Source organism: Homo sapiens, chromosome 5 (assembly GCF_000001405.40).
Source record: "Homo sapiens chromosome 5, GRCh38.p14 Primary Assembly".
Taxonomy (NCBI): Eukaryota; Metazoa; Chordata; class Mammalia; order Primates; family Hominidae; genus Homo; species Homo sapiens.
This window is the reverse complement of record NC_000005.10, coordinates 75,167,706-75,194,760: the sequence shown is the minus strand read 5'-3', so window position 1 is coordinate 75,194,760 and position 27,055 is coordinate 75,167,706. Positions and strand designations below refer to the sequence as shown.

General features: G+C 36.3%; 1 protein-coding gene across 15 annotated transcripts in view; it reads left to right on the top strand.

Moving 5' to 3' along the window:
* ANKRD31 (ankyrin repeat domain 31) overlaps positions 1-27,055 on the top strand; it is a 168,582-nt gene that overhangs the window by 42,118 nt on the left and 99,409 nt on the right. For 14 of the 15 annotated variants that reach the window (NM_001164443.1, NM_001372053.1, XM_017009319.2 and 11 more), the window contains 4 exons: positions 1,170-1,450; positions 1,985-2,094; positions 6,113-6,268; positions 25,640-25,782. In NM_001164443.1, coding sequence (NP_001157915.1) covers positions 1,170-1,450; positions 1,985-2,094; positions 6,113-6,268; positions 25,640-25,782 — 690 coding nt within the window. The remainder of the gene's footprint in view (positions 1-1,169; positions 1,451-1,984; positions 2,095-6,112; positions 6,269-25,639; positions 25,783-27,055) is intronic. The other variant, XM_017009321.1, reaches the window with a different exon arrangement.

Here is a 27,055-nt window from a genome sequence, read left to right as displayed (position 1 = left end):
TATTTTTTAAATTTAATAATGTGTTTTGTTTATCTTTCAATGTCAGCAAATGTAGCACTACTTAAATCTTTTAATTTGCTGAATAGTATTCCACTGTGTGAATATATTGTAATTTATTTAATCAATTCACTAATGATGGTCATTTGGATTGTTTTCTTTCTTTTCTTTTTATCTTCCGATTACCAAAATGTTTCTGTGAACATCCTTGTGAAGATTTATGTAACAAAATGCTGAGCTCGTGTTGCAGCATACATACCTGGGACAATACTGCATGAAGTTCTGTTTAACAAATCTCAAAACTGACATAGGATTTTTTAAAAACCAGAAAAAGAGAAACTAATTATGGAGATAGGGCATGAAGATTAAAATTGCAGTGTTCTAATATGAAAAGAGGGAATATGAGTAAAGTGTAGGAAATTATGATTGGTATTAATACAGTGAATATGAATTTAGCAAGTCTTCGAAAGGAAAAAAAATAAACCCTCTTAAGTAGAAAGGAGACTTACTTAGAAGAGATCAAATAATATACTCATTTACTCAGCTGTAATAAAAATATGGAGCTTGTTACCTTGAGAAGCTTTGCAAGACGGATATGTAAGTAAGCTGAAGAAAGGTTTAGATGATACGTATAAAGAATACATATGTTCATGGAAGTTAAATCTATAATGAATTATTAAGGGAAAGAACAATTCCTGATACACTGTTAACCTTTTAAAATCAATGTAATGGAGGTTATGTACTATCTTGTTCCACAAAATATCACTTGCTGCTGCTGTCAGATAATAAAACCCTAGGCTGAATAGTCCATTGATCTAGCCTAGTGTGACATTTCTAATGTTTTTGTAGATCTCTCATCATTCTACATTCCAAATTTCTTGCAAAATTAAAACTCCTAGAGTGACCATAGATTTGCCTTTGAATTTTCAAGATAAATATTGATCAAAATCATTTTTACTTATGCTCTTAAGCTTTTAAATCTGCATTGTCCTTTATTACATTAATTATTATTAAATCTTTCATTATGTCCACATATGTCTATGAATTCTTGTACTTGGATCCTATAATAGGCATTTTAATTTAAGCAAAGGTCAAGACAAAATTTAACTTCTTATAGTTTTAATTTTTTTGCAGTGTTGTAATTTTTTGTGGATGTATTTACGTATTTGCAGACTCTGCAAGACCCAAATCCATCTGGATTGCAAACTTTGGCTCATCAAAATATCACTTCTTGTGAGCCACTAAGTAATAAGAGAAATTCAAATTCAGTGACAAATAGCTCTGATCAGGAAACTGCGTGTGTGTTGAGGAGATCATCCAGACTAGAAAAACTGAAAGTAAGCAGAGATGCAAAGTACTCAGATCACATGTATAAGATGCCAGAAAAGATTTTACCAAAAATCCTTGGCTGTGAGGACCTAACAAATAATAACTCTTCAGCTCAGAATTTCAGGTATGCAATGAAATTATGTCTTTATCTCCAGGTATGCTATAGACATTATAGATAATTATATGCTTGGGGACATCAGGGTCAGTATACAGTTAACACAGGGGAAAGAGCTTTATTTTTTATATTATTGCTTTTTTATTTTGCAGTTTTTGATCAGTGCCATACCACAGAGCAAGGCTTTTTCCTCGCAAAGAGCCTGCATCTTTTTCTCTAGAGGGTGAATAGAGTGGATAGTGGCATGCCAACTTGGGGAGTAAAGAGCAGGAGATTAAGAATACTCACACTTGTAGATGACTAATCCTAAAGAAGAGAAACCCACAGGTCGCGCAAAGAGAGGGCTAGAAGCTGTGATGACTGGCATGCCTGCTGCAGAATTACCTGCAGGAGCCATCTCCGTATTTAAAACTGCCACGCCACTTGAGAACAGCTCAGTAAAATACCCTGGAGTTTTAATATTGTATTCAAAAATTGGTATAATTCTCTGTGAATGTTTGCAAAAACCGTTATAGCCATTTAAAAAATACGTTGTTTTTCAAGAATGCAGGATCCGGCTTTAATGATTGATGGTAAAGAGAAGAATATGCATTCAGCAAGGTTCAAGAATGGAAAACAGATCAGGAAAAATGAACAATTTTCAGGAAAAAAAGGTGATGCATATTTTGAGTATTTTTCTATTTCTTTTACAAAAACAGAATTGGTAGAAAGGATTCAGAGATTATCTTTCTCAACTTTCTAATTTTGCTGATGAGGAAACTGAATTTCAGATAGGTTAAGGGTTTTTCCCAGAACCATACAGCTCATTATTAGCATAATTGAGAATTGATCCTGAACTTCTGACTCATAGATTAGTACTTTTTTCTGTAGTTCTGCTTTGGAAAGAGTAGTTACAGACCTCTTTTTAAATTTACATGTGTGACTAACCTAGCATATGGCTATGAAAAAGCATATCAGGAGGAATAAAGGAAAGGACAAGGCACAATTGTTATTATTCTTAGATCTTATTTCTGTGTTCCTATAACATCCAAAAGATTGAACTAAAAAACTCTCAGAAGCAATAAGAGAATCTAGAAACATTGTTTAAAAAATAATAGATAGTAGAACAATTGGCAAAACTGAAATATGGGTTGTAGATGAAAAAATAATATTGTATCAGAGGTAAGTTTTCTGAATTTGATAATAATACTGCAGCGATATAAGCGTACATCTTTGTCCTTAGAAATATACATTAAAGTATTAGTAAGTAAAAGGGCATGATGTATAAAAGTTACTTTTTATGTATACATGTGTCTGGATGCATACGTATTTAGAAGAAAGAATGGTTTAAAGTCAATGGCAAAATATTAACAAGGGGTGAGTCTTTTGTTCTATTTTTACAACTTTTCTGTAAGTCTGAGATTATTTCAAAAGAAAAAGTTTTAAAAATGCGATAAGCTGGAGTCAACAATTAATGCCTTTCACATATATGTATGTATTAACTTGTTAGAAAGTGTAAAAGACTATCTCATTTATAATTGTTCCAAAAAGAAAATACTTTTATAACTAATAAGAAACGTATCATACTTATAAGAAGAAAGTTTAAAAATTCTACTGTGAGATGTAAAAAATACTTGAATAAATGGAAAGAAGAACCTTGTTCTTGACTAGAAAGATTCAGCATTGTAAGAAGGTTATCCCTAAATTATTCTAGAAATGCATGAGATCTCATCAAAAACAGATTTTTATTTATTTGCTAATTTTTTGTTTTATTTTGTACTGTTTTACAGTGATAGAGAGTAGCTATGAGAAAATTTCAAAGTAATACTAAATATCACCTAGAAAAGTAAATATGAGAGACTAGCCAAGAAAATTCTGAAAAATAAAAGCAAAAAGTTAGAGTGGCAGGACCTTTTCTCCATAGTATGAGAGCATATTAGAAAGCTACAGAAATTAAAGTTATTTGACACTGGAGCAGGAATAGACAGATAAATCAGTGAAACAGAATAGAGAGTTTAGATGTAGAAGCCAGCTACAGTGAGATACGGGAAAGATATGTAATACAGATGGCATCTCAAATTGTGGTGAAAAGAAAGACTAAGCAATAAGTAGTGGAAAACACAAACAAAATTGGATTTCCATAACATTCCTTACACTAACTTTAATTTCAGATTGATCAAAGATTTAAATGAAAAATAAAAGTTGTAGAAGAAAGCGTAAGTGAATCTTTCTGTAACCTTGGTGTGGAGAAAGTCTTTTTAAATCCTCTTGGTTTCTGAGTTTAAAATCATAAAATTAACTACATACCTTTAAAAGAATGATAAAAATTCTTTTAAAGAATGATAAAATTAACTACATACATTTAAAAAAATTGTATGGAAATATACACTAAAGAAGAATCAAATATCAAATAGCTAAGAAATATTAGCATCATTTGACAAGGGTTTAATTGCATTAGTATGCAAAAAACTCTAATGAAACAGTAAGGATAAAGAACAGGGGTGTATGTCATGGCCTTAATGGTGGTGATGGTTTCATGGGTATATACTTGTCCCCAAGTATATTGAATTGTATACATTAAATAAGTATCCCTTTTTACATGTCAGATAATAATAATAACAATAATTAATTAAAAATTTTTAAACTGGGGGAAAAAAGTAAAAAGAACATGAATAGATAAGGAACATGAACAAGCAGTTCACAGAAAAAAAAATACACACACACACACACACATATATAAGCACCTCAATCCAGTCTTATTGGTCTAGGACTTCAAGTTTGAGTTTTGGGAGGACACCATTCAGTCTGTAACACCTTCAGAGGTGAATTCTACAAAATATATAAGGGGGAAATAATACCAGTTCACCACACAATTTTTCCAAAAAATTAAAGATGAGGAAACACTTCTCAACTCATTTTAATGAGGTCATCATTAAACTGATACCAAAATCAAAGACATTATAAGAACAGAAAATTAGACTAAGTATCCTTCATGAATATAGATGCAAAAATTCTAAACAGGCCACGTGCAGTGGCTCATGCCTAGAGTCGCAGTACTTTGGGAGGCTGAAGTGGGTGGATCGCTTGAGCCCAGAAGTTTGAGATCAGCTTAAGCAACATGGCGAAACCCTGTCTCTATGAAAAATGCAAAAAATTAGCTGGGCATGGTGGTATGTGCCTGTAGTCCCAGCTACTCGGGAGGCTGAGGTGGGAGAATTACCTGAGCCTGGGAAGTTGAGGCTGCAATGAGCCGTGATTGCACCACTGCACTCCATCCTGGGCAATACCCTGGAGAAGAATATGGAGAGCAAGACCCTGTCTCAAAAAAAAAAAAAATTCTAAACAAAACTTGAGCATATCAAATCCAACATTATATAATACATCATGACTAAGTGGTGTTTATCCTAGGAATTCAAGATTGGTTTTACACTTGAAGACCAATCGCTGTAATTCATTGTATTAACAAGCTAAAAAAGAGGAACCATATGATCATCTCAATAAATGCATAGAAAGCATTTGACAACATCTAACACATTTGTTCCTGGTGAAAATTCTCAGCAAACTAGGAATTCAACCTGACAATGGACATCTACAGAAATCATACAGCTTTATACTTAATTGTGAAAGATTAAATGCTTTCCCCCTAAGATCAGAAAATTACATAATTATAATATAACAAGTACAACTGGCACAGGCAGATTTGGAAGTAAAGACTGCTCTGATTATGGTAAGCATGCAATTTGTCTAGTGGGAAAAGAATGCTTTGTAGTCTGGTATACAAGAATGTAGACTCAAAGTTCAGCAGTTGGGTTTGTTATACAGTGGGACTGAATCAAGGGAGTCAAACGGCAAGGCAGTTGATATGTCGTCCATTAAGAAAGCTGCTGCAGTACTCAGTTACCTTTGTAAGGTTTTAGGATGGGGCAGGATAGCTAGATACAAACTGGAAAAGCTATCATCAAGCTACTCTGAAATTCAGAAAATCCAGATGAGTATTGCCCTCCAAACTGACAGGATTTGAAACATGTAAATGAGGAGCTTCAGTATTTTAGGAGGCACAGTGGAGAATTGATACTTGATATACATTATCTGGAAAAGTATTTTAATCGTGCATTTCTGGCTTAGTAAATAAAAACAATTGCAAGGATCAAGGCTGTGGTTCTCTGCTTAATTTCATTAATTTATTTTTAGCCAAGAAGGAGAATTTTGCATTCCCTTTTCCAGTCTCACTGGGATTAGTTTTTGTATCTTATATGCCTCTGAGATTTTCTCCTCATGGTTTTATAAGACATTTGGTAATATAACATTTTATTAAATTTGATAATATATTATTCTAGGTTTAAATAATCCTTTTCACCAGAACTTTTAAGAAGATTATCTGTTAGTCTTTTCATATATGCACCTTTCATGGGTTTTCAATCAACACACACTGTTTATCATGATTTATAGTTTACTTCAAATATTTTAAGACTAGTGGCATTTGTCTCTTTTTCCTTTTTGTATGTAGATAATATTATAGTTGGGTTAATGGATGAATATTCTCATAATATACTTCACTTCTACACTATTGACTGAGTTAATCCTGTTACCTATGTTCGTGAAGTTTGTAGTTTGAAATATGTGGTTTGTAATCCGTATTCCTTCTGATATTCAAATAATGATTTTTTTCTTTTGTTCATTCCCTCATTTCAGAAAAAATGAAGGTGAACAAAATATCTCTTCATAGCATTAACCGGAGAAACATTTTTGGAGAGAACTTAGTATATAAGGCTGCTCTACACGATGATGCTGATCTTGTTCATCATTGTATAAAAAAAGGTGGAAATGTTAATCAGCCAAGTTATGCTGGTAAGTTAGGATTACCACCCACAGTTACCTTAAGAGTGGTTTGTAGTTTCAGCTGAATCACTCTTAGGAAAGTATAGCAAAGTGAGCCTAAGGTAAGTTCCAAACAGAAGGCTTTCAGATCATTTTCCTGTTGAAGTAGCTCATCACCATTATCTTTCAGGGAAGAGGGCAGGGTGAGAAGACTGGGTGGCAGGAGAAGAGCATTATGTTTCTCCTTCAAAGATTATGCCAGGTGGGTTATGTGCAGTGGCATCCAGAAGGTACCTGGGGCTGGCTTTGCATGGTCATTGTTACTATGAGACTCAGCCTTGAATGAAGGAGAAATGATGTCAAACACTGGAAGAAGCTGATGGTGCACTGAGCTGTAGGGGAAAATTTATGATGAAATGGTAGATGTACAGCAGGAGCAGTGGCCAGGGAAATGGAAAAAATACAGTATGAAGTACAGAGGTTGGGACAGGGAGCTCAGAAAGTGCAGTATTTCTGCAAGGCTGGGTCACTGGTACAATGTTCCCTGTGGGTAGAATGTGACATGTTGTGCTAGAGAAGAGTGATTCCTTAAAGGTACTTAAGTACTTAATACACTGAACAATACTTGGACAGCCTGGATGGTGCTTTTGGGTGTCCATACTTTTCATGTTGTTTCTAAACTTGCTCAGTTTAGAAACATTGCAAAGAGTCTTATGGTGCACAGAGATGGCACAGTAAAATCCAGGGACAAGCAAGTGATTTCAAGTGCACCCCCAGTACTTTACCTTAGCAAAGCCTGGGTTTATACTATAATCAGGATTTTAACAGGATATTATTTTAAATGTCATACCCAGGTTATAGCCCTGTTATAACCCTCAACCTTGTATTCTTATTTGCCAGCCACAGCACTTACTCTCTTGATTTCAAGAGATATGCGGTTCTTTCTGTTGGTATTCTTTGTCTGCCCATTGAGTTCAAGAGTAGCCCTATATGCAGCCAATTTTGACTTTATGGATTTCTCAAGCCTCTCTTAACATGTTTCTTTGTATTAGCCTTTTTTTTTTAATGTGCCAGTGTTAACATTCTCAGTGGCTGTTCCCTTCTTGTCTTCAGCCAGTTAATATATACCTTTTCCTCATTGTCTCAGGTACTTCTGTGACCTTCATGAATTCTTTATCCCTATCATATTTTCCTGCATTTTGAACTCACTTGTTCTCTACTTTTCCTTCTTACTTTGCATCTTAGCTCTATCTTTATTTCTGGCTACCACATCCCACAGAATTACAGAGGACAGTGTTTCCACAGAGTTTCCATTTTCAATAGAATCACCTGCAATGTTTGTTTAAAATGCAACCATCATTTCACCTCCCAAAACACACACACACACACACACACACACACACACACACACAAAACAGAATCACCGGCAATGTTTGTTTAAAATGCAACCATCATTTTGCCTCCCAAAACACACACACACACACACACACACACACACACTCTGTGTCTCATACACACACACACTCACTCTCTCAGCTATATGACCTCTATCGTGTTAGTTCAATGTAGTGAGCGTTTACAGTATGCCTTCTATGTACCAGATGCTGTGAAAACAAAAAGATTAATAATCTCTAGTAGGAAGATTTAAGTATACTTATTTTGTGGTACAATTTAAAAAAAGGCCCACTGCCCTGTGAGAAATGAACAAAATGTAATAGTGGACCAATGGTCTTTTATATGTAACATTTTGAATTTTATAAGTCCTCATTTACGTTTTATGATATTTTTGTCTTTGATTAAAAAACAAATTGCAGGGAGCTCAGAAAGAGCAATAATTCTTTTTCCAAAAGCAAAGGTGACAGCCATGAAGTAGGCTAAAAAAAACTCTGAATACTCAAAATAGATCACATTTTAAATTTTTGCCAAAAACCTCTGAGAACAATGCCTTGAGCTTTATTTTATGCAGAACTCTTTCTGATTCCTATACCTGTAACACATTGGAACTGAAAAAGAAAGGTTGGCCCAGACCAGGGTATTAATGATAGCCTGAAGTTTAAGTCAATAACAAAGCAAGAAATAGATAACATAAAATATGAGAGACAAAACTGTTTAGGACTATGTAATGTAGAAAGGAGTGCGCTTTATACTTCTGTGAGTGTTAACGGTGGCTACATTACAGCATATAACAAATTTTAGTGTAATCATAAATCTTTTTTAAAAATGTGTTATATTCTCTTTGAAGGAAATTTATAACTATATTCATTTTTTAAGGAGATTTCCTCCAATTTCTTTTTTTAAATAAGTTTTTTTGGGGATCTCCCAACCTGCAGATTTGGGAGGTAATAAAAGATCTGTTGTAGAATGTGTTCCATCTTTATTTTGGAGGGGTGGTTTTACAATGCTGAAGGCATAATCCTTAGGGAAAGGAAAATTCTCTGTTACATTTGATTTCTTTCTGTAATCTGTAGCGATTTCTGTGGTCTTCAGTGGCTTTCTCTGCAGAATAAAGCACCTTCTGGCTTTATTGACACTGGGAACTTCTTTCAGCCCTGAAACTGATAATTCTTCTCTACTGAGTCATCCTTTTTTAAGTCTCACTTCAGGTAGCAGTCATTGTTTTTCCTGGAATTGGACACCATTTTTTACTTTTAATGGATACATAATTATTATATAACAAATAACTATAATTATATGTATAATATATAGTGTATTATAAACATACATAATTATACATATTTATGGGGAACAATGTGTTTTTTTAATACATGTATATGTTGTGTAATGATCAAATCAGAGTAATTAGCATATCTAACACCTTAAACATGTATCATTTCTTTATGTTAGGAACATTTAAAAATCCCCTTTTCTATTTCAAGACATGCAATACCTCTTTGCTGACTCTAGTCACCCAACTCTTCAATAGGACACCATCACTTATTCTTCATTTCTTTTGTGTGTGTGTGTGTGAGATGGAATCTCACTTTGTTGCCAGGCTAGAGTGCAGTGGCGTGATCTTGGCTCACTGCAACCTCCGCATCCCAGATTCAAGCGATTCTCCTTTCTCAGCCACCTGAGTAGCTGGGATTACAGGCGCCCGCCACCATGCCCAACTAATTTTTGTACTTTTAGTAGAGACAGGGTTTCACCATGTTGGCCAGGATGGTCTCGATCTCCTGACCTTGTGATCCACCTGCCTCAGCCTCCCAAAGTTCTGGGATTACAGGTGTGAGCCGCTGCACCTTTCTGTTCTTCATTTCTAATTGCAACTTTGTACCCATTGACCGTCTCTTCCTAATTTTTCCCCTCCCACTACTCTCCTCAGTCTGTAGTAACCACTATTCTATTCACTGTTTCTTAGGATCAACTTTTTAGATTCTGCATATGAGTAAGAACATGCAGTATGTGTCTTCCTGTGCATATCTTATTTCACTTAACATGATGTCCCCCAGGTTCTTCCATGTTGTTGCAAATGAAAGAATTTTATTCTTTTTTTATGGCTGAATAGTATTCCATTGTATACATATACCACATTTGCTTTATCCATTCTTCTGTTGATGGACACTTAGGTTGAGTCCATATCTTGGCTATTGTGAATAGTGCTACAGTGAGCATGGGAATTTAGATATATCTTTGACATACTGATTTCATTTCCTTTGGATATATACCAAGTAGTAGGATTGCTGGTTATGGTAGTTCTATTTTTAATTTTTTGAGGAATCTCCATATTGTTTTTCATAATGGCTGTACTAATTTACATTCCCACCAAAAGCGTAAAGGTTCTCTTTTCTCCACATCCTCATCAACACTTATCTTTTGTCTTTTTAATAATAGCCATTCTGAGTGGAATGAGGTGATACATTATTGTGGTTTTGATTTGCTTTTCCCTGGTAGTCAGTGATGTTGAGCACTTTTTTTGTATACCTGTTGGTCTTTTGCTCATTTTTAAATGGAATTATTATTATTATTATTTTTTGGCTATTGAGTTGTTTGAGTTTCTTACATATTCTGCATATTAACCCCTTGTCAGATGCATGGTTTGCAAATATTTTCTCCCATTCTATAAGTTGTCTCTTGACTCTGTTGATTGTTTTCTGTGCTGTGCAGAAGGTTTTTAGTTTGATGTAATCTCATTTGTCTGTTTTTTAATTTTGTTGCCTGTGCTTTTAAGGTCTTATCTAAAAAAGTATTGCCTAGTGTCATGAAGCATTTTTCCTATGTTTTCTTCTAGTAGTTTCAGTTTCAGTATTTACATTTAAGTTTTTAGTCCACTTTGAGTTGAATTTTGTATGTGTTGAAAATAAGGATCCAGTTTTATTCTTCTGCATGTGGATATCCATTTTTTCCAGCACCATTTATTGAAGAGGCTGTTTTTTCCCCAGTGTGTATTTTTGGCACCTTTGTTGAAAAGCAGTTGGCTGTAGATGCGTGGATTTATGTCTGGGCTTTGTATTCTGTTATATTGGTCTGTGTGTCTATTTTTATGTCAATATGATGATCTTCTCATTAATAGAGCTAAGTAAGGTAATATGCCTCTAGCTTTGTTTTTTAAAAATTTTTTGCTCAAGGTTGCTTTGGCTGTTTGGGGGTCTTTTGTGGTTCTACATGAATTTTAGGGATTTTTTTTATTCCTGTGATGAATGTCATTGGTATTTTGATAGAGATTGCATTGAATCTATAGATCATATTGAATCTGTAGATTATTGTGACAGAATTAATTATTCCAATCCATGAACATGGGATACACTTATATTTATATGTGTCCTCTTCAATCTGTTTCATCAATGTTTTGTAGTTTTCAGTGTGGAGATCTTTCACCTTCATCTTAAATTTATTCCTAGGTATTTTATTTTTTGGTAGCTATAATAATTAGGTTTGTTTTCTTGAATTCTTTTTCTGTATAGTTCACTATTTAGCATATAGAAACACTGCTTTCTGTATGTTGATTTTGTATCCTGAAAGCTTATTGACTTTATTAGTTCTTACAGTTTTTTAGTGAAGTCTTTAGGGCTTTCTATATATAAGACCATATCATCCACAACCAGGGACAATTTGACTTCCTCCTTTCCCATTTGGACACCTTTTATTTTTTTCTTTTGCCTAATTTCTCTCACTAGGATTTCCAGTATAATACTAACTAGAAGTGGTGAAAGTGGACATTCTTGTCTTTTTCCAGATCTTAAAGGAAAAACTTTCAACTTTTCCCTGTTTCATATGAAGGTAGCTATGGGTAAAAATAAAGCCCATATATGGGATTTATTGTGTTGACGTACATACCTACTGTACCTAATTTGTTGAGAATTTTTATCATGAAGGGATGTTGAATTCTATCAAATGCTTTTTCTGCATCTTTTGAAATGATCATATGGTTTTTGTCTTTCTTTCTGTTAATGTGATATATCACGTTTATTGGTTTGTGCATGTTAAATCACTCTTGTATCCCTGGGATGAATCCCAATTGATCATAATGAATAATCTTTTTAATGTACTGTTGAATTCAGTTTGCTTGTATTTTGTTGAAGATTTTGCCCCTGTGTTCATCAGGGGTATTGGGGATTCATTTTTAAGCACCTCCTCCCCCTGACCCATCATTGACTTTGGATCACTCACACTTGTATCTTGTTTTCTTTGGGAATTTTCTTCAGTAACTTTAAAATAGGATACTGGCTTTTCCTTGGAAGCCATATGTTTACTTTTATATTTACCTTATCTTTCAGGCATTCAGGGCTCAAGGAGAAAAGTAATATTTGGTTGTGGTTATTTTCTCATTTCTATAGTAGACATTTTAGTCTTTTTTTTTTTTTTTAAGTTGGACTCTCACTCTTGTCACCCAGGCTGGAGTGCAATGGCGCTATCTCGGCTCACTGAAACCTTCCCCTCCCAGGTTCAAGAGATTCTCCTGCCTCAGCCTCCCGAATAGCTGGGATTACAGGCGCTTGCCACCACGCCTGGCTAATTTTTGTATTTTTAGTAGAGATGGGGTTTTACCATGTTGGCCAGGCTGGTCTTGAATTCCTGACTTCAGGTGATCTGCCTTTCTCGGCCTCCCAAAGTGCTGGGATTATAGGCATAAGCCACCTCTCCTGGCCCATTTTCATCTTCTTTAGGAAACTAATTTTTATTGTAGTTTGAGCAAAATCTAGACAAGGAAAGGAAGTTTTCTAGAAGGAAAATCATCATCTGCATTCCAAAGTTAACGACTTTTGAGTTTCTGATACTTAATTTTTCATCCCATCTAACTGGGACCTGTGATAGATAATCAAGTTAACCAATGTACATATTGGTAAGCAAATTTTCACAGGTTCCAGAACCTAAACAGCAATGAATTCATACCTTCTATAAGAAACAATATTTGGGGGAAATCGTTTTTGTATATACATTTTAAAAATAGGTAGTTTTAAAATATTCAAAAAGTTCACATGACCTATTTATTTATCCATATACCTACTATCTAGATTCTACATATTTATTTTATCAGATATCTATCCATCTTGAAATCTCTCTGTCCATCCATCAATCCATCTTTATTTTGGTGCATTTCAGAGAAATTATAGACAACAGTGTGTTTTATTTTTTTTATTTTTTATTTTTTTTGAGTCTACCATGTTCAACATGTGGCTTCTTTTTTTTTATCATTACTATTATACTTTTAAGTTTTAGGGTACATGTGCACAATGTGCAGGTTTGTTACATATGTATACCTGTGCCACGTTGGTGTGCTGCACCCATTAACTCGTCATTTAACATTAGGTATATCTCCTAAAGCTATCCCTCCCCCCTCCCCCGACCCCACAACAGTCCCCAGTGTGTGATGTTCCCCTTCCTGTGTCCATGTGTTCTCATTGTTCAATTCCCACCTATGAGTGAGAACATGCGGTGTTTGGTTTTTTGTCCTTGCGATAGTTTGCTGAGAATGATGGTTTCCAGCTTCATCCGCGTCCCTACAAAGGACATGAACTCATCATTTTTATGGCTGCATAGTATTCCATGGTGTATATGTGCCACATTTTCTTAATCCAATCTATTGTTGTTGGACATTTAGGTTGGTTCCAAGTCTTTGCTATTGTGAATAGTGCCGCAATAAACGTACGTGTGCATGTGTCTTTATAGCAGCATGATTTATAATCCTTTGGGTATATACCCAGTAATGGGATGGCTGGGTCAAATGGTATTTCTAGTTCTAGATCCCTGAGGAATCGCCACACCGACTTCCACAATGGTTGAACTAGTTTACAGTCCCACCAACAGTATAAAAGTGTTCCTATTTCTCCACATCCTCTCCAGCACCTGTTGTTTCCTGACTTTTTAATGATCACCATTCTAACTGGGGTGAGATGGCATCTCACTGTGGTTTTGATTTGTATTTCTCTGATGGCCAGTGATGATGAGCATTTTTTCATGTGTTTTTTGGCTGCATAAATGTCTTCTTTTGAGAAGTGTCTATTCATATCCTTTGCCCACTTTTTGATGGGGTTGCTTGTTTTTTTTTTTTGTAAATTTGTTTGAGTTCATTGTAGATTCTGGATATTAGCCCTTTGTCAGATGAGTAGGTTGCAAAAATTTTCTCCCATTTTGTAGGTTGCCTGTTCACTCTGATGGTGGTTTCTTTTGCTGTGCAGAAGCTCTTTAGTTTAATCAAATCCCATTTGTCAGTTTTGGCTTCTGTTGCCATTGCTTTTGGTGTTTAGACATGAAGTCCTTGCCCATGCCTATGTCCTGAATGGTATTGCCTAGGTTTTCTTCTAGGGTTTTTATGGTTTTAGGTCTAACATGTAAGTCTTCAATCCATCTTGAATTAATTTTTGTATAGGTGTAAGGAAGGGATCCAGTTTCAGCTTTCTACATATGGCTAGCCAGTTTTCCCAGCACCATTTATTAAATAGGGAATCCTTTCCCCATTTCTTATTTTTGTCAGGTTTGTCAAAGATCAGATAGTTGTAGATATGCGGCATTACTTCTGAGGGCTCTGTTCTGTTCCATTTGTCTATATCTCTGTTTTGGTACCAGTACCATGCTGTTTTGGTTACTGTAGCCTTGTAGTATACTTTGAACTCAGGTAGCATGATGCCTCCAGCTTTGTTCTTTTGGCTCAGGATTGACTTGGCGATGCGGGCTCTTTTTTGGTTCCATATGAACTTTAAAGTAGTTTTTTCCAATTCTGTGAAGAAAGTCATTGGTAGCTTGATGGGGATGGCATTAAATCTGTAAATTACCTTGGGCAGTATGGCCATTTTCACGATATTGATTCTTCCTACCCATGAGCATGGAATGTTCTTCCATGTGTTTGTATCCTCTTTCATTTCATTGAGCAGTGGTTTGTAGTTCTCCTTGAAGAGGTCCTTCACATCCCTTGTAAGTTGGATTTCTAGGTATTTTATTCTCTTTGAAGCAATTTTGAATGGGAGTTCACTCATGATTTGGCTCTCTGTTTGTCTGTTATAGGTGTATAAGAATGCTTGTGATTTTTGCCCATTGATTTTGTATCCTGAGACTTTGCTGAAGTTGCTTAACAGCTTAAGGAGATTTTGGGCTGAGACAATGGGGTTTTCTATATATACAATCATGTCATCTGAAAACAGGGACAATTTGACTTCTTCTTTTCCTAATTGAATGCCCTTTATTTCCTTCTCCTGCCTGATTGCCCTGGCCAGAACTTCCAAAAGTATGTTGAATAGGAGTGGTGAGAGAGGGCATCCCTGTCTTGTGCCCATTTTCAAGGAGAATGCTTCTAGTTTTTGTCCATTCAGTATGATATTGGCTGTGGGTTTGTCATAGATAGCTCTTATAATTTTGAGATATGTCCCATCAATACCTAATTTATTGAGAGTTTTTAACATGAAGGGTTGTTGAATTTTGTCAAAGGCCTTTTCTGCATCTATTGAGATAATCGTGGTTTTTGTCTTTGGTTCTGTTTATATGATGGATTACGTTTATTGATTTTCATATGTTGAACCAGCCTTGCATCCCAGTGATGAAGCCCACTTGATCATAGTGGATAAACTTTTTGATGTGCTGTTGGATTCGGTTTGCCAGTATTTTATTGAGGATTTTTGCATCAATGTTCATCAAGGATATTGGTCTAAAATTCTCTTTTTTTGTTGTGTCTCTGCCAGGCTTTGGCATCAGGATGATGCTGGCCTCATCAAATGAGTTAGGGAGGATTCCCTCTTTTTCTATTGATTGGAATAGTTTCAGAAGGAATGGTACCAGCTCCTCCTTGTACCTCTGGTAGAATTCAGCTGTGAATCCATCTGGTCCTGGACTTTTTTTGGTTGGTAAGCTATTAATTATTGCCTCAATTTCAGAGCCTGTTATTGGTCTATTCAGAGATTCAACTTCTTCCTGGTTTAGTCTTGGGAGGGTGTATGTGTCGAGGAATTTATCCATTTCTTCTAGATTTTCTAGTTTATTTGCATAGAGGTGTTTATAGTATTCTCTGATGGTAGTTTGTATTTCTGTGGGATCGGTGGTGATATCCCCTTTGTCATTTTTTATTGCGTCTATTTGATTCTTCTCTCTTTTCTTCTTTATTAGTCTTGCCAGAGGTCTATCAATTTTGTTGATCTTTTCAAAAAACCAGCTCCTGGATTCATTAATTTTTGAAGCGTTTTTTGTGTCTCTATTTCCTTCAGTTCTGCTCTGATCTTAGTTATTTCTTGCCTTCTGCTAGCTTTTGAATGTGTTTGCTCTTGCTTCTCTAGTTCTTTGAATTGTGAAGTTAGGGTGTCAATTTTAGATGTTTCCTGCTTTCTCTTGTGGGCATTTAGTGCTATAAATTTCCCTCTACACACTGCTTTGAATGTGTCCCAGAGATTCTGGTATGTTGTGTCTTTGTTCTCGTTGGTTTCAAAGAACATCTTTATTTTTGCCTTCATTTCATTATGTACCCAGTAGTCATTCAGGAGCAGGTTGTTCAGTTTCCATGTAGTCGAGCAGTTTTGAGTGAGTTTCTTAATCCTGAGTTCTAGTTTGATTACACTGTGGTCTGAGAGACAGTTTGTTATAATTTCCATTCTTTTACATCTGCTGAGGAGTGCTTTACTTCCAACTATGTGGTCAATTTTGGAATAGGTGTGGTGTGGTGCTGAAAAGAATGTATATTCTAATGATTTGGGGTGGAGAGTTCTGTAGATGTCTATTGGGTCTGCTTGGTGCAGAGCTGAGTTCAATTCCTGGATATCCTTGTTAACTTTCTGTCTCATTGATCTGTCTAATGTTGACAGTGGGGTGTTAAAGTCTCCCATTATTAATGTGTGGGAGTCTAAGTCTCTTTGTAGGTCACTAAGGAATTGCTTTATGAATCTGGGTGCTCCTGTATTGGGTGCATATATATTTAGGACAGTTAGCTCTTCTTGTTGAATTGATCACTTTACCATGATGTAATGGCCTTCTTTGTCTCTTTTGATCTTTGTTGGTTTAAAGTCTGTTTTATCTGAGACTCAGATTGCAACCCCTGCCTTTTTTTGTCTTCCATTTGCTTGGTAGATCTTCCTCCATCCCTTTATTTTGAGCCTATGTGTGTCTCTGCACGTGAGATGGATTTCCTGAATACAGCACACGGATGGGTCTTGACTCTTTATCCAGTTTGCCAGTCTGCGCCTTTTAATTGGAGCATTTAGCCCATTTACATTTAAGGTTAATATTGTTATGTCTGAATTTGATCCTGTTATTATGATGTTAGCTGGTTATTTTGCTCGTTAGTTGATGCAGTTTCTTCCTAGCATCGACGGTCTTTACAATTTGGCATGTTTTTGTAGTGGCTGGTACCAGTTGTTCCTTTCCATGTTTAGTGCTTCCTTCAGGAGCTCTTTTAGGGCAGGCCTGGTGGTGACAAAATCTCTCAGCATTTGCTTGTCTGTAAAGTATTTTATTTCTCCTTCACTTAGGAAGCTTAGTTTGGCTGGATATGAAATTTTGGTTTGAAAATTCTTTTCTTTAAGAATGTTGAATATTGGCCCCCACTCTCTTCTGGCTTGTAGAGTTTCTGCCAAGAGATCCACTGTTAGTCTGATGGGCTTCCCTTTGTTGGTAACTCGACCTTTCTCTGTGGCTGCCCTTAACATTTTTTCCTTCATTTCAACTTTGGTGAATCTGACAATGATGTGTCTTGGAGTTGCTCTTCTCGAGGAGTATCTTTGTGGCGTTCTCTGTATTTCCTGAATTTGAATGTTGGCCCACCTTGCTAGATTGGGGAAGTTCTCCTGGATAATATCCTGCAGAGTGTTTTCCAACTTGGTTCCATTCTCCCTGTCACTTTCAGGTACGGCAATTAGACGTAGATTTGGTCTTTTCACATAGTCCCATATTTCTTGGAGGCTTTGTTCATTTCTTTTTATTCTTTTTTCTCTAAACTTTTCTTCACACTTCATTTCATTCATTTCGTCTTCCATCGCTGATACCCTTTCTTCCAACTGATCGCATCGATTACTGAGGCTTGTGCATTTGTCACGTAGTTCTCGTGCCGTGGTTTCCAGCTCCATTAGGTCCTTTAAGGACTTCTCTGCATTGATTATTCTAGTTATCCATTCGTCTAATTTTTTTTCATAGTTTTTAACTTCTTTGCCATTGGTTTGCACTTCCTCCTTTAGCTCGGAGTAGTTTGATCTTCTGAAGCCTTCCTCTCTCAACTCGTCAAAGTCATTCTCCATCCAGCTTTGTTCCATTGCTGGTGAGGAGCTGCGTTCCTTTAGAGGAGGAGAGGCACTCTGATTTTTAGAGTTTCCGGTTTTTCTGCTCTGTTTTTTCCCCATCTTTGTGGTTTTATCTACCTTTTGTCTTTGATGATGGTGACGTACAGACGGGTTTTTGGTGTGGATGTCCTTTCTTTTTGTTAGTTTTCCTTCTAACAGTCAGGAACCTCAGCTGCAGGTCTGTTGGAGTTTACTGGAGGTCCACTCCAGACCCTGCTTGTCTGGGTATCAGCAGCAGTGGCTGCAGAAGAGCGGATATTGGTGAACCACAAATGCTGCTGCCTGATTGTTCCTCTGGAAGTTTTGTCTCAGAGGAGTACCCGGCCATGTGAGGTGTCAGTCCACCCCTACTTGGGGGTGCCTGCCAGTTAGGCTACTCGGGGGTCAGGGACCCACTTGAAGAGGCAGTCTGCTCTTTCTCAGATCTCAAGCTGCATGCTGGGAGAACCACTACTCTCTTCAAAGCTGTCAGACAGGGACATTTAAGTCTGCAGAGGTTATGGCTGTCTTTTGTTTGTCTGTGCCCTGTCCCCAGAGGTAGAGCCTACAGAGGCAGGCAGGCGTCCTTGAGCTGTGGTGGGCTCCACCCAGTTCGAGCTTCCTGGCCGCTTTGTTAACCTACTCAAGCCTGAGCAATGGCAGGCGCCCCTCCCCCAGCCTCACTGCCACCTTGCAGTTTGATCTCAGACTGCTGTGCTAGTAATGAGTGAAGCTCCGTGGGCATAGGACCCTCTGAGCCATGTGCGGGATATAATCTCCTGGTGTGCTGTTTGTTAAGCCTGTTGGAAAAGCGCAGTATTAGGGTGGGAGTGACCCAATTTTCCAGGTGCCGTCTGTCACCCTTTTCTTTGACTAGGAAATGGAATTCCCTGACCCCTTGCGCTTCCCGGGTGTGGCGATGCCTCACCCTGCTTCGGCTCACACATGGTGCACTACACCCACTGTCCTGCACCCACTATCCGGCACTCCACAGTGAGATGAACTCGGTACCGCAGTTGGAAATGCAGAAATCACCCGTCTTCTGCATCGCTCACGCTGGGAGCTGTAGACTGGAGCTGTTCCTGTTCGGCCATCTTGGCTCCACCCCAACCAACAGTGTGTTTTATCACTAAACACCCCAGCATGAATATTATTAGAGTTCAGGGGTGTGTGTGAATGTGTGTGTGTGTGTGTGTGTGTGTGTGTGTGTTTTCTGAGGTAACATTTTCATATAGTGAACTACAAATCTTAAATATGCCATTTGATGAATGTTGACAGATACACTATCCCAGAAAGTTCCCTCATGCCTCTCTCAGTCATTCCTCACTCTCAAGATGCCACTACTGTTCTGATATTTTTCACTCTATATTAGTTTTGCCTCTTTCAATATTTCAGCATATTTCACGATTAAACATGATTTTAACTATAGGTTTTTATAGATGCTCTTTATCAGATTGAGGAGTCTATTCTTTTTTTAATATACTTGAAGCTCTAGGGTACATGTGCACAACATGCAGGTTTGTTACATAGGTATACATGTGCCATGTTGGTGTGCTGCACCCTTTAACTTGTCATTTACATTAGGTATTTCTCCTAATGCTATCCCTCCCCCAGGCAACTGCCCGACCCGACAGGCCTCAGTGTGTGATGTTCCCCGCCCTGTGTTCAAGTGTTCTCATTGTTCAATTCCCACCTATGAGTGAGAACATGCGGTGTTTGGTTTTCTGTCCTTGTGATAGTTTGCTCAGAATGATGGTTTCCAGCTTCATTCATGTCCCTGCAAAGGACATGAACTCATCCTTTTTTATGGCTGCATAGTATTCCATGGTGTATATGTGCCACATTTTCTTAATCCAATCTATCACTGATGGGCATTTGGGTTAGTTCCAAGTCTTTGCTATTGTGAATAGTGCCACAAAAAACATACATGTGCATGTGTCTTTATAGTAGCATGATTTACAATCCTTTGGGTGTATACCCAGTAATGGGATGGCTGCGTCAAATGGTATTTCTAGTTCTAGATCCTTGAGGAATCACCACACTGTCTTGCAAAATGGTTGAACTAATTTACACTCCCACCAACAGTGTAAAAGCGTTCCTATTTCTCCACATCCTCTCCAGCATCTGTTGTTTCCTGACTTTTTAATGATCGCATTCTAACTGGCATGAGATGGTATCTCTTTGTGGTTTTGATTTGCATTTCTCTGATGATCAGTGATGATGAGCATTTTTTCATGTGTCTGTTGGCTGCATAAATATCTTCTTTTGAGAAGTGTCTGTTCATATCCTTCACCCACTTTTTGTTGGGGTTGTTTTTTCTTGTAAATTTATCTAAGTTCCTTGTAGATTCTGGATATTACCCCTTTGTCAGATGGGTAGAGTGCAAAAATGTTCTCCCATTCTGTAGGTTGCCTGTTCACTGTTCACTCTGATGGTAGTTTCTTTTCCTGTGGAGAAGCTCTTTAGTTTAATTAGATCCATTTGTCTATTTTGGCTTTTGTTGCCATTGCTTTTGGTGTTGTCGTCATGAAGTTTTGCCAATGCCTATGTCCTGAATGGTATTGCCTAGGTTTTCTTCTAGGGTTTTTATGGTTTTAGGTCTAACATTTAAGTCTTTAATCCATCTTGAATTAATTTTTGTATAAGGTGTAAGGAAGGGATCCAGTTTCAGCTTTCTATATATGGCTAGCCAGTTTTCCCAGCACCATTTACTAAATAGGGAATCGTTTCCCCATTTCTTGTTTTTGTCAGGTTTGTCAAAGATCAGATGGTGGTAGATGTGTGCTGTTATTTCTGAGGTCTCTGTTCTGTTCTGTGGGTCTATATATCTGTTTTGGTACGAGTACCATGCTGTTTTGATTACTGTAACCTTGTAGTATAGTTTGAAGTCAGGTAGCATGATGCCTCCAGCTTTGTTTTTTTTGCTTAGGATTGTCTTGGCTATGCAGGCTATTTTTTGGTTCCATATGAACTTTAAAGTAGTTTTTTCCAATTCTGTGAAGAGTCATTGGTAGCTTGGTGGGGATGGCATTCAATCTATAAATTACCTTGGGCAGTATGGCCATTTTCATCATATTGATTTGTCGTATCCATGAGCATGGAATGTTCTTCCATTTGTTTGTCTCCTCTTATTTCATTGAGCAGTGGTTTATAGTTCTCCTTGAAGAGGTCCTTCACATCCCTTGTAAGTTGGATTCCTAGCTATTTTATTCTCTTTGTAGCAATTGTGAATGGGAGTTCACTCGTGACTTGGCTCTCTGTTTGTCTGTTATTGGTGTATAGGAATGCTTGTGATTTTTGCACATTGATTTTGTATCCTGAGACTTTGCTGAAGTTGCTTATCAGCTTAAGGAGATTTTGGGCTGAGACCATGGGGTTTTCTAAATATAAAGTGATGTCATCTGCAACAGGGACAATTTGACCTCCTCTTTTCCTAATTGAATCCTCTTTATTTCTTTCTCTTGCCTGATTGCCCTGGCCAGGATTTCCAACACTATGTTGAATAGGAGTTGAGAGAGGGTATCCTTATCATGTGCTGGTTTACAAAGGGAATGCTTCCAGTTTTTGCCCATTCAGTATGATATTGGCTGTGGGTTTGTCGTAAATCGCTCCTATTTTGAGATACGTCCCATCAATACCTAGTTTATTGAGAGTTTTTAGCATGAAGGGCTGTTGAATTTTTTTGAAGGCCTTTTCTGCATCTATTGAAATAATCATGGGGTTTGTGTCAGTGGTTCTGTTTATGTGATGGATTACATTTATTGATTTGCATATGTTGAACCAGCTTTGCATCCCAGTGATGAAGCACACTTGATCATGGTGGATAAGCTTTTTGATGTGCTGCTGGATTCGGTTTGCCAGTATTTTATTGAGGATTTTTGCATCAATGTTCATCAGGGATATTGGTCTAAAATTCTCTTTTTTTGTTGTGTCTCTGCCAGGCTTTGGTATCAGGATGATGTTGGCCTCATAAAATAAGTTAGGGAAGATTCCCTTTTTTTCTGTTGATTGGAATAGTTTCAGAAGGAATGGTACCAGCTCCTCTTTGTACCTCTGTTAGAATTCGGCTGTGAATCTGTCTGGTCCTGGACTTTTTTTGGTTGGTAGGCTATTAATTATTGCTCAGTTTCAGAGCCTGTTATTGGTCTATTCAGAGATTCAACTTCTTCCTGGTTTAGTCTTGGGAGGGTGTATGTGTCGAGGAATTTATACATTTCTTCTAGATTTTCTAGTTGATTTGCGTAGAGGTGTTTATAGTATTCTCTGATGGCAGTTTGTGTTTCTGTGGGATCGGTGGTGATATCCCCTTTATCATTTTTTATTGCATCTATTTGATTCATCTCTCTTTTCTTCTTTATCAGTCTTGCTAGAGGTGTATCAATTTTGTTGATCTTTTCAAAAAACCAGCTCCTGGATTCATTGATTTTTTTAAGTTTTTTTTGTGTCTCTATCAAGGAGCCTATTCTTAATTTACAGAGTTTTTTTTTTTTTAAATAGAGTTTATGCTAGCTTTTCTCATGTACTTTTCATACATCTATTGATATGACCATATAATTTTTCTCTCTTATTTCACTACTGTGGTGAATTAGCTTTATTGATTTTCAAATGTTAAACCAACCTTACATTCTTAGAATAAACTGTATCTGGTCATGATGTATCATTCTTTTTATATATGGCTGGATTCGATTTGCTATAATAAGGGTTTTTGCATCTATGTTCATGAGTAACATTGGCCTATAATTTTGGGGGAGAGATAATTCTTTTGTCTGTGATTTTTTTGAGGGGGATAATGCTTTTTTCTGGATCCTTTTGATCAAGATTTGCTAATATTTTGTTAAGGATTTTAAAAAATCTATCTTTATAGATTTATAATTATCAGTGTATAATATTTTTATAATGCCTTTGGTTTTGGTATCAGGGTTATGCCAGCCTCATAAGTTAAGAAGTCTTCTCACCTCTTCTATTTTCTGAATGAATTTGTCTAACATTTAAGTTTTTTTTTTTTCTTTCTTAAATGTTTGACAGAATTAGGAGTGAAACCATCTGGGCCTATAGTTTTATTTGTGGGAGAGTTTTGATAATAAATTCATTAATAGGTATAGGCTATTCAGATTTTCTGTTCCATCTTATGTCTGTTTTGGTAAGTTGTGGTTTTTTTTTAGTTGTATTATTCAATTTTATTGATTTTTTTCAAGAATCGATTTATGGCTCTTTTAGTTGTCTTTGTTATTTGTTTTATACTTTATTGATTTCTGTTCTTTTTCTGCCTTCTACTTATTTTTGTTTTCTTTGTTCTTTTAGCTTTAATAAGGTAGAAAATGAGGTCACTGATTTTGTACCTTTTTGCCTAATATAAGCATTTAAAGCTTTAATTTACCTCTAAGAACTACTTTAATAGTTGCATCTCACAGATTTTTATATGTTTTATTTTCATTGTAATTCAGTTTGAAATATTTTTAATTTCTCATATGCTTTCTTCTTTGATCCAGTGATTATATTAGAAGTTGTTTAATTTTAAAATGTTTGGGGATTCTCTAGATACCTTTCTGTTATTGATTTCTAATTTGACTAAAAAGAACATAAAGGATACATTTTACATGATTTTGACCTTTTTGCATTTATTGAGAATTGATTATTGCATAATATATTATCTCCTTTGTTGAATATCCCAGGTGCACTTGAATGTTTATTCTTTAGTTGGATGTAATGTTTTATAAATTTCAGCTAGGTAAAGGTGTTGATAATGTTGTTCAGCTGTTCTATATCTTTATTGATTTTATGTCTCATTGATCCATTTTTTTTTAGAGAGATGTTAAAATCCTCATAAATGTGATTGTGGAATTGTCTGTTTCTTTCTTTGATTCTGGCAGTTTTTGCTCCTTATATTTTGAAGCTCTGTTATTAGATACATAACGTTATGATTGTCATGTCTTGTGATAAATTAGCTCTTTCATCACCATGAAATGTCTGTCTTTATTGCTTGGTAATATACTTTATCTTGAACTCTACTATATATAATATTAATATAGACATCTAGCCTTCTTATGTTTACTGCTTATTTACGATATGTTTTTCTATCCTTTTACTGTATCTTTTTCTATCCTTTTATTTTCAACCTATCTGTGTCTTTATATTTAAAGCATGTTTCTTAAGAAGGGAACAGTAGACACTGGGGACTACTTATGGGAGGAGGAAGGGAGTGGGGCATGGGTTGAAAAACTATCTATTGGGTACTATGCACACTACCTGGGTGATGGGATCATTTGTACACCAAACCTCAGTGACACACAATTTACCCATTTAAAAAATCTGCACATGTACAACCTTAACCTAAAAGAAAAGTTGGAACAAAAATAAACTATGTTTCTTGTAAACAGCAGACAGTTTTGCTTTTTTTATTCATTCAGACAGTCTTACCTTTTAATTGAAAATTAGCATGATTAGTCAATTTACATTTAACATAAATGGTTGGATTTAGGTCTGCCATTTTACTAATTGTTTTCTATGTGCTTAATCTGTATTTTGTTTCTTTCTTTGTCTTTGCAGTATTTTTTCATAGTTACTCTAGGGATTAAGTGTACACCTCTAATGTTTCACAGTTATCTTTGAATTAATATTATAATACTTCATATGAAATATGAGGACATTGAATACATATAGTCCATTTATTCCCCCATATCCGTTGTGCTATAGCTATCATATATATCTACAGACATAAATTTTATAACTTTTGCTTTAAACAAGCCATATTCATTTTAAGGAAATTTATAGGGAAAAAACCTTGTTAACTATATATTTACCATTTTGGGGTCTCTTCATTTCTTCGTCAAAACTCAGTAATAATACTATAGGAGAAACTTCTTCCCTGAGGCAGTGGTTCTCAACTGGAGTGCTTTTGCTCCCACCCCCTCCCCAGGGGACTTTTGGCAGTTTCTGGAAACATGTTTAGTTGTTAGAACTAGGATAGGAGTTTCTACTATCATCTGGTGGGTTGAGGCCAGGGATGCTGGTAAACATTCTGTGATACTCATAAAAACTAAGAAACATAAGCTGAGATTCGTAATCCCTATTTTATGATGAGTGTTCTGAGAAGAGCTAGTGAAAGTCTCTTTTGACGTGCAACTTTAAAGTTTTCTTACATCTGTCATATGATTTACTGGAATTTAATAAATATCTGTAACTTATACCATTGTCCTTGGCCAACAAAGAAAAAGAATATTTGCCTGTATGACTGGTTTTCTTGGAGCAGTTTGTGGTTTGTTAAACTACTATAAATAGCTTTTTGTAAAGAAGGAGAAAAAATGAATATATCCTTTTGAACTGAGTGATATGTAGTCCAGCCAGCTGGATACTTTAATGGAAGTACCTTGAACTAGAAATAAAGCTTTTCTCCCCTCATCTCTGCAGAAAAGCAGCCTGCAACCAGCATTCACTTTGAGTTGATAATGACTCCTGCACAGCCTATTTATTTGGAGAGGTCAAGATTACTTTCAAATATTTTGTTTCTTTTCACATTTTTGCACAGCAGAGTTGAGGGGTAGGAGTTTGATTTGTCCTTCAGGTTTATTGAACCTACCAAATAATACAGTGTGCTTTCAGGTGATACTATCTTGACTCATATAATCAAAATATTTTTGAAGAAAGAACTTAGAATCAAAGTTGTTTTTTAAGGGCAAGCACAAAACATTATTAAGATGCCAAATGTAAACAAATGCCGTATCTTTTTGTATGATAGGTTGGACAGCACTTCATGAAGCTAGTGTAGGAGGATTTTATCGGACAGCAAGTGAACTATTAAAAGGTGGAGCAGATGTAAATATCAAAGGATTATACCAGATTACTCCCCTACATGATGCAGTGATGAATGGACATTATAAGGTACTGTGATGCTTTTATTTGCAGAACAAATACTATATTTTGCAAATATTAAATATCTCTGGGACCACACAATAGAAAAACATACAGAAATTTTAGTTTAATTTCATTCTGCTAATGAATACTTAGAATTTATAATGAAATTTTACTGTGTGATGGGTTTGTTGTGTGTAATATGATAGGTGTCATTTTACATGTTACTTTTAATAACCATATAGAGCTTTTTGGTTACATAGTATTTTTTTTCAACTTGTTTTCCTTTAAAACTCCTTTAATATGGTGCTTTATAGGGTTTAGAAGAATGTTTCCTTCTTATAGAGTGTTACGCAGTTATGTCCAGTCCTGATAGGAGGTTTACAGCTTTATGGAGTCTGGTGTCACTTTCATAATCAGCCTGAGGCAGGATAATGTTTCTGATCAGTTCAGCTTAATGATCAGCCAGGATATATCAGCAGGTTAAAATATCAGACTACTATAATTGCATACCAGTTGGTTAATAGTAACTGCAATAAATGGTAACATTAAGATTATGAATTCTAGTATACATGGTTTATCTCAGAAACCATATTTATTTTAGCTTACTACACATTTTTTCTGGCCCTGGGACAACATTGCAAGGCTGAGGCACTTGCTGAAGATATCTTGTTATTCATTTCAGTTACTGAAAGTTGCCTCTGGGTTTAAAAACTTCTAGGATGGGAAAGGGTATTAACTATCTGGGATTAAGAAGATTTGTTCTGCCTATTTACAGAAGAAATGCCTAACACAGGCAGAGGCGGAGAAGGCTGCTGGGAGCCATGGGAATAGACAGGGCATATTCCTTCATAGTATGAAACAGTACTTCAGAAGGGTTTAGGCAGTTTTTTTTGTTGTTTGTTTTTCATTGTTTGTTTGCTTGTTTGATAATGTATATCTTGGTGATGGGTGGTCATTTTTGCATATAGTTTAGAGGACTAGGAGGAGAGAATTCTTCCCAGGATCCAGTTTAATGGCCAGAAGAATGCAGGCTTGGACATGTGACAGTGTGAATCCTTTCTCTGTCAGAAGCAGAGAAACCTCACGCCAAAGCACTTCTTCTGTCTAACACCATAGCCCATTTGCTCCCTCACTTCCCAGAGCTGACCTATACTGATCAAGAGTCTTTTCTTCCTTTGAGTAAAGTGAGCCCTGAGCATTTTAATTTTTCTTCTTTTCTTTCCTATTTGTTCCTTTGCCCCACTTCGAACTTGGCTCTAATCCATTTCTGCCTCACAGTCTAGCATTGGCTGTCTCCTAT